This window comes from Homo sapiens, chromosome 20 (assembly GCF_000001405.40).
Source record: "Homo sapiens chromosome 20, GRCh38.p14 Primary Assembly".
Lineage (NCBI taxonomy): Eukaryota > Metazoa > Chordata > Mammalia > Primates > Hominidae > Homo > Homo sapiens.
The window spans coordinates 8,960,113-8,968,883 of record NC_000020.11 but is presented as its reverse complement, the minus strand read 5'-3'; the positions used below and the strand labels follow the sequence as shown (position 1 = coordinate 8,968,883).

Sequence of the window (8,771 nt, the reverse complement as noted above, 5' to 3'; positions counted from 1 at the left end):
TAAACATGGAAAGAGTGACCCTTATCCTCCAAAAAGCCTGTGCTCCACTAGGGGAGATAGCTGTATACTCGAGTCATGCATAGGTTTGTCAAAGAAAGGGAGAGAGAAGAGCAAGGAAGGAAACTCAGTTTAGCAGTATTTTAAATAGAAGCATCACCACCAGGAATGGTGCACTTTTCCATCTCATCCCACGGACATGGTGGAGCAAAGAGAGTCTTTCCCATTCTGATTACAGATCACACCAGTGGAGGGCCCACTCATACATTTCATCCCTTCAGTGTGGTTAGCAACTGGAGAGCCCTAGGACTTAGGGCACTGGACAGACCCTTGCCTGTGATGATGAAAGGATAGTGAACATGTCCAGAGTGTCTCCGCTAAAACATGGTAGAGCTAGGTTTGAAAATCCAGATCTGGTTGACTTTAAATCTCATAGCCCTGGTCCTGAGACAGATACAATCAGCAAGGCATTTACCCTTTGACCCCAGATTCTTTATTGGCAAAATAAGCGACTTGGAAACAGTGGTTTTCAAACTTGTCTTTTTTTTTAATAAACAATTTAACACTTCTTTCAAATAAAGTATTATTCAAGTCCAAGACAGAAAACAGGTCAAAGCCACATTGCTTTGGTTGAAGACTGGGTGGGATCCACAGCTTTGATCTCTCTCTCACCCCAGACAAGTCTTGTGCTATCTTGCATTACTGTTCAGCAAATGATCATGCTCCCCTCCTCCTTCCATTGGAGAGTGTGCTTTATCACCCCACTGATGTTGGGCTTGCCTATATGACTTGCTTTGCTCAATGAAATAGAAGCAGACATGACATTGTTTACATTAAAAATGGGATTGCATAATCAAGATGACTTGGTGTTTTTCACCCTTGCCTCTGTTATGAGAAAAGTATGTCCCAGGCAGTCAATTGCTCCTTCAGCATGGAATGAAAGACAGGTGAAGAATCTGTGTATTTTACTTTTAGCCTGAACAAACTGAAAACCCATGAATGAGAAATAAAGGTTTGCTTTTGACCACCACTGAGATTTTTGGGGCTGCTCGTTACACAGTGTTACCATGGCAAAGTCTGACCGATATAAAGTCCCAAAACATGTACTCAAAACCTGTGTGGCTCACAGCACAGATCTAATTGGTGGAGAAAAGTGAGACCCTAAAAAATGAAACAAAACCCACAACAATCCCAACAACAAACAACAAACCCCACATTTATTCCATTGATAATCCCCATATCAGATAATTGAGTAGTTTTTTTGCTGCTTTGATGCCTAGTATTGCTATTTCCCTGTATTGTTTTCCAGTTAGATTTTTCAGAGTCTACACATCTGTGAAGCTTCTCATTTCACTGAAGTGAAATGACACCCTTGAGTGTCAACTGGCTTTTAGACATGAAGATGACAACCTTCCTGTGGTCATCTTGAGCGACCTGGTGTTGGGGAAAATGGGCTGCTTTCAGACTGCACAAAATCTGGAAATGGTTTAATTAGTGTGTAAGTTAATCAGGGTCCCTAAGTCAAAATTACCTGGAGTAGGCACATTTGCTTTTCTTAACCTCTTTTTCTTCTTTCCCACCGTGTTTTACTCTTTGTCTCCTTTCCACTCCCCGCAGGCCAAGAATGCAGGCACCACACATGGTTGTCTCTGTTTCATGAGCAGAACCTGAAATCATCAAAGTAGGTTTCAGGAGTTCTGAAATAAGTCCTGAGAATTTGCAATAAAATTTATTCTGATACAACCATTTTACTTTTAATGTTCTAAGAACTCACTTTAAGTGATAAATAGTCTGTGTGTTGAGTATGAAGAACAGCCTGTTTTTTTAAAAAATTTAATCTTAATGGGCTCCAAGTTCTTTGTAATGTTAACTGACAACACTTGATCATGGAGATTTTTGTCCATGGAGTCTCCTATGAGACGACTGCTTTGGCATACATTTCAGGAAGCTTTGGATTTATTCCTAGCTCCTTCAGGTTCTAGCACCCCGGTCTGTTTCTCACCAGCTCTTACGGACATGAAAATCTCCCTCTCTGGGCCACAGTTTGTTCATTTGTGAAATGGAAAGTTTAAATAAGATCATTTATGAGATTCTCAATATATCATTTACTATTCTTTCATAAAATTACTAAAAATGTAGTCATACTCATGTTTGATATTTCCTTGGGATAGAAGAGTTTAACCTCGCTTTGTATTTGGAATTATGTTTATTTATATGGAAGAGGGTCTGGAATCATGGTGGCAGAGAAAGTGAGTTACCTATCAGTAATGACAATTTTAATTTAAGATAAAAGACCGTATTTCTAAGCTTCTCTTAACAGCTATAGGTGGCCAAAAATATAAATGGAATTGTTAGGTGAGACTGTTGAGAAAATTCCTGCAGAGGGACACAAACAGCAGGAGTAGACCCTACTTGCTTGCTCTATCCCCCAACTTCTGCTTTCTGCCTGGAACAGAGAAGTAATGGTTGGAGCTCCTGTAGCCATTTTGAACCATGAAGCCAGCTTGAAATAAAAAACCATACACAAAGGATAGCAGAGCAGAAAAATAGAAAAAACTTAGGTTTCCTCTGTCACCATGGAGCCTTCATACTAGCCCTGAACATCTACCTTTGGACTTCTTTTATGTGTTAGAGAAATGAACTTCTGCTTTGTTTAAGTCACTGTTATTTTGAAAGTTTTTAATCGAGGCTGAATTCAATCCTGAACTGAGAGAGCCTAGCTTCTTGGTTCTTCAAAACTGCATTAGAGAACTTGCTAAAACACAGATTACTGGGCACACCCCTAGGGTTTTTGATTATGTAGGTCTAGGCTGCAGTCAGAGGATTTTCTTTTCTTTCTTTCTTTTTTTTTTTTTTGAGACAGGGTCTTGCTATGCTGCGTGTCACTGCCCCTGGCTGAGAATTTGCACTTGTAACAAGTTCCCTGGTGATGCTGTTGCTGCTGGTCCAGGGACCACATTTCAAGAACCACTGACTTAGAACATCTCCAATTCATTTGAAAAGGAGGGAATAAACCTTTGCCTCTTGACAAAGCAGTGTCATAAACCAGATTATAGGGTGTCGGCAAAATACTCCTTATGAAACATGTTTACATTTTGCTTCCAGACTCAAGATGAATGGCATCTTGGGAAGTTTTCATTTAAATACATGGGAATGGATAGTTCCTGAGTTTTTTTCCCTGAGAACAAAATGGCGAGAAGCTGGAGCTGACAAGAAATTCAGCCTGGAAGTACTGAGGCAGAGAAATGGCCATATGGAAGGTTGTGTGTGTTGCCATTTTCAATGGTGGCACGATTTTCCGTTCTCCCAAACAAATCTCCATCAGTGTTTTTAATAGTCTCAAATGCTCTTTTTATTGATATCAAAGGACAGATGGACTTTTTTTTTTTCTAAAGCGAGCTGAGGAAAATAAACAATCAGGCCAATTTAACCCAGTGTTTTGGAAAGTCACCTCGGGATGTCCTCGAGCCTGAGGAAATGTCACTTTCCCAAGTCTCCTCAGGGCAGCCCTTTTGTCCCTTGTTTCCTGAAGGGAACAGTGTGTCTGAAGAGTTTCCTTCTGCCTCCGCTCCAGTTCACCACTGACAACTGGGAAACTCAGTGACCTGAGCACAGCATCTGCAGAAATCTGTCAGAATGATTAGGCGATTCATGGCTGTGGGGTCTCAGAACAGCCCATGTCCCTGTAAATTGTTTCCTGAGCTTCATGGTGGCATCAGCATTAGTCATAAGTACCTTTCACAGAGATTGCAGCAGCTGAGTCCTGGGCTGTAAGATTACCTTGCTGTGGTCTGTTTCTCAAAAAGAAAAAGAAGTGCAAGGTGAATTCAGATCTCAGAGAATCCCCATCCCTCCAGCCCTCATGACCCTTTCTCTCCCCTTTAAATCTTTCTGAGAGCTTGTCTCCTTCACCCTTGGATAGAACTAATACTGCCCAGGTCTGAGCTTTGTATGCTTACCCTTTGTTTACATATTTTTTCTCTCTGGCCACTTGGCACAGACTAGATGCTTGGCACAACCTCTCACAAACTAGGTGCTTATTTTGTGGAAAAAACAGGTGGAAAGTGTGCAATGGGTGACAGCCTGGGATCTGCAACACGTGCACCTTTATTTCCTTCTCCTTTCCTGCCTTCATTCCTCTGTTTCTCCCTTCCTTCCATCCTTCTTTCCTTCCTTCCTTCCATCCTTCCTTCCTTCCTTCCTTGCCACAGGAGACTCAAGTCAATACTTTATAGCAGCAAAATTTACATACGGTGAAATGGACAAATCTTAAGTGTACAGTTTGGTGGTGACATTTAGCTCAAGACCTGAAAGCTTCATGTGGCTCAAGAGAATGACATTTCTATCACCCCCGAAGTTTCCTCATGCCCCTACCAGTCACTCGGCCCCTGCCTCAACCCTCAGAGGAAACCATTGTTCTGATTTTTATCATCATAGGTGAGTTTTTCCTGTTCTTGAATATCATTTAAGTGTCTGATTTCTTTCACTCAACATAGTGTTTTTGAGATGAAGAGGGCACATTTCTTAATTTTCTTAAAAATCAAATTACTTGACCTTGAGCCTCATGGCATTGGGTTCCTGGACACTCTTTTGAGTCAGAATTGGGGCTCTGAGCCCCAGCCTCAGCTACAAGGTCATGGCAACTCTGGCTACAGAGGAGGGGAGGTCTCGGGCACAGAAATATTTGGCAAGGCCTCTCCCTTCCTTATTCCACACAGGCTGAATCACGAAACACCAGCCATTGCTGAGGTTACTGTGGATAATATCAATCAAATAAGATGGTGCACATTGGCTTCCCTAATATGCCCATTGTCTGAGCCAGAGTCACAATGAATGGCATCTTGGGAAGTTTCCATGGTGCTTGGAAACTGAGACCATGGAGGCTCCCTGCAATTTCTAGACAAAGTACACCTGCCAAGGCCAGGGCTGCAGTGCCTAGAGAAGGTATCCTAGGTGTCCTTGCAGGTGCCCCAGGAGTTCCTGTCCCTCCTGAAGGCTCTGCCTTGGCCTCTTCTGGAGGGGCAGACCTTCTGACCTCCCTTTGCTGCCCAGTCTAGGGGAATCTCCTCCCTCTTCCCCTCCTTCCCATTCTTCCATCCCCAGGAATCTGCCTCTGTGTCCCCTCCTATTCCATTTACAGAAGCCAGGAATGGGATTGTTTTCTTCCAACAATGTCTCTTTTGCTTCTCTGTTATTGCTGCTTTGTGCTCTGACCCAGGCCTGAGACAAAAGACATCAAACTCCATCTCTGGTGGGAATGCAAAGGCCATCTATGGTGTGTACATAAAGGCCATCTCTGGTGGGTACTCTAATCTCCTTGTTTGGCTTACAAACCTTGTGTAATCTGGCCTGTCTTCTTCTCTGATCTTATCCTGTCTTCCTTTCTGATCTGATCTTGTGCTGCTCCTCTTTGCCTCACTCCCTACACCACAAGCCTAGTGGCTTTCTCTGTTTCTAGAATTCTCCAAGTTCATTCCCTTTTTAGGACCTTGGCACTAGCTAGTCCTTTTGTCTAGATTGTTACTTTCACTGGTCTTTGCCTGGCTGACTCTTCTCATTCAGATCTTAAACTAATTAAGATCATCCTTCAGCATCAAAAGTAAAGCCATTGTGTAGGCCCTAACTAATTCTACCACCCCTCTCCTGTTTTGATGTAATTCTGTGATATCACTTACCCCAGCTATTTTTTCTAGTTCATTTGTTCCTTTATTTGTTCATTTATTATCTTGTTTCCCCATTAAAATGTAAGCCTGGGAGAACAGAGAGCTTATCTGTCATGTTCACCACGTGTATCAGTATCAGTTATCTACTGCCACAATAAAGCTGTGTAACAAATAACCAAGAAAACCTCAATGCCATAAACAAGTAGCGCTTACCATGCATTTGCATGTTAGCAATTTAGACTATGCTCAGTGGGACAGTTCTTCTGATCTTGGTTGGGCTCACGTGTCTGGCTGTTTGTTGGTTGGCTGTCAGCTGGAGTGATGTGAATAACTGGGATGCAACAGTGAAACAAGTCCCAATGAGCAGGCAACTTTATAAGCCTCGGGTTATGTCATGGTTGCTAATATCCCATTGGCCAAAGCAAGTCACACTGGCCACCCCAAGAGAGAGCATATGGACACTAGAAAGTTACACAGCCAAGGGGGAACATGAGAAGGTGTAGTATTAAGGCCAGTGATGTAATGAATCTCCCACAATATGTATTCCTAGCCTTTTCTACACAGAAGGCACTAAGTTCACATTTGGTTTCATTAATGGATGAGTTATTCTTTCATAAAGAACATAAGAAAAATCAATTAATATTAACAAACAAACAAAAAAGCCCTGGTGCAAAAAGTTATAATACTGTTACCCAAATACAGGGAGTTTCTGGATGGATTTCAGAAGTTGGAGAACCCCTGAAATGAGATATAAAATAAGGAAAAGATTATCCTTCTGGGCAGACAGCAGCCCATGTTAAAGCTGTGGCCTCATCCACTTCCTTGGCTGAGTACAACTATGCAGTACACAAACCACACAACGGCATGCAGCACCCCTAGGTACTCACATGTTAGAACAACTTTGAGTCTTTCTCCTCTGTCTTTAGTGTAGTTTATTGCCTTGACTAGGGCTGTGTCTACTTGTTCGGATGCCATCATTTTTCCAGCTTCAATGTTGATTCTCACAAGCCAATTATTTCTTGTCATGACTGTTACAGAAAGAAAGTGAAGGTTCATTCTGTCTGAAAAAACACTCAGCCTCCCAATATCCCCTGGGACGACTTCTTCCCAGCTTCTACCTGGAAATTCAGGTGCCTCTTATTGAGGTCCTTAGGGGAAATTATTCTTTATTTTACTTTATTTTATTTATTTATTTTCAGACGGAGTCTCGCTCTGTCGCCCAGGCTGGAGTGCAGTGGCGCGATCTCGGCTCACTGCGAGCTCCGCCTCCCGGCCTCACGCCATTCTCCTGCCTCAGCCTCCTGAGTAGCTGGGACTACAGGCGCCTGCCACGACGCCTGGCTAATTTTTTTTTTTTTTAGTAGAGACGGGATTTCACCATGTTAGCCAGGATGGTCTCGATCTCCTGACCTCGTGATCTGCCCGCCTCGGCCTCCCAAAGTGCTGGGATTACAGGTGTGAGCCACTGCGCCTGGCCAATTATTCTTTAAGCCCTAGACATACATCAACTTGCTTCATCGTCAAGAGGCATCTCAGGACCAACACCAGTCTCAAATGAATCACCAAACGCCAGACACTGCCGAGGTTACTGTGGATAACCTCAATCAAATAAGATAGTGCACATTGCCTTCCCTAACCACCCAAACAGTTTTTACACATTCAAAAAGTCTCTAAAATGACTGATTGATCCTTGTTTGCACCAAAGGGATGTCTCATTCCTAAGGAGGTGGTTTCTAATGTTAATATAGTTTGGATATGCGTGCCTTCCAAATCTCATGTTGAAATTTGGTCTTCCGTGTTGGAGGTCGGGCCTGGTGCGAGGTATTTGGGTCATGGAAGCAGATCCCTCATGAATGGTTTGGTGCTTTCCCAGAGGTAATAAGTGAATTTTCACTCCATTAGTTCACGTGGAAGCTGGTTGTTTAAAAGAGCATGGCATCCTTCTCCCTCTCTTGCTCCCTCTCTCACCACGGGACACATTTGCTCCCCCTTCACCTTCTACCATGACCATAAGCCTCTCACTGGATGCAGATGCCAGTGCCATGCTTCTTGTACAGCCTGCAAGAACCAGGAGCCAAATAAACCTTTTTTCCTTATGAATTACTCAGCCTCAGGTATTCTCTTACAGCAATGCAGAAGAGACTAGGACAAATATGTTTCTATTATCATAAATAGATATAAATGATGTAGACATTATAAATATGTAAAGAGATTGTCTTGTCATTTATAATAAATATGTTTTTGAAACATACTATTAATGTGGCTCTTCGGTTTCAAGGGAAAAAATCTGAACCATGATAATCATGGAAAAGTTGACGTTTCTATGATATGACTGTACGCCTGTTTTTTCATGTGGTTCTTTATGTTATAGCATCTTTCTTTTAAAATATGTTTTTAATTTTTTGGACACTCTAAATTTTAAAAAATCATACATGATCCACATCACAAGAAAGTGTAAATAAGAAAAATGCAAGAAATTATAATATTACTGATATGCGTACCAGCTAGATTGACAGTGTGATTTTTATAGTACTAAGTATGTAGAGTTCAACTTTCAGAGAGGAACATTTTTCTAAGTGGTTTCACTCTCCTGAGTCCTTCATGGCCCTGGAAGAATTATGACTATTGGTGATTCAGGAAGAATCTGGGAGCTACAGAAAATAACTGCTTAAAATGCAAAATGAGGCGGCAATAATGAACTGATTCTCCAGGGTCAAGAGGTGGATAATGTGTTTATGGACAACTTTCCACGAAGGAAGACTAAGATGTCGCTAAGATATGACTTCAAAGACACAGCAGTTCTATTAAAGTTTCCAGGGCTGATTTTGGGATTATCAACCTAAACCCTTGTAGATTATTATAAGAGTCCAGTGGCCTTAAATGCCTTGTCTGGAATTCTAACATTGCAGACCACTGTAACTTGTTAAGAGAACTGACAAGAGGGTGATGTGGAAACAGGGAAGAAATTATCGGGTTTCTGCTTCAAGGTCCACTTTTGAAAAGAGTCGTCATCAGTGCAGAAAAATATTGATAGACTTTGTCTCAGTAGAAGCTTCATGTCTTTTTCATCTCTCCAGAATTAAAGATCACTACCAGCAACAACCCATGTGA

General features: G+C 42.0%; 1 long non-coding RNA gene across 10 annotated transcripts; it reads right to left on the bottom strand.

Moving 5' to 3' along the window:
• Positions 1–523: 523 nt before the first annotated feature.
• Positions 524–6,685, bottom strand: LOC105372522 (uncharacterized). 10 transcript variants are annotated; one of them, XR_001754736.2, is made up of 5 exons: positions 6,548–6,685; positions 6,353–6,398; positions 5,874–5,991; positions 3,449–3,788; positions 524–1,664 (listed from the first exon to the last, which is right to left on the bottom strand). It is a non-coding gene; the product is annotated as an uncharacterized LOC105372522 (long non-coding RNA). The 10 variants fall into 10 exon arrangements; XR_001754742.2 differs by having other exon boundaries at positions 3,733–3,788; positions 5,874–6,398; XR_001754739.2 differs by lacking the exon at positions 6,353–6,398.
• Between the last annotated feature and the right edge of the window lie 2,086 nt (positions 6,686–8,771).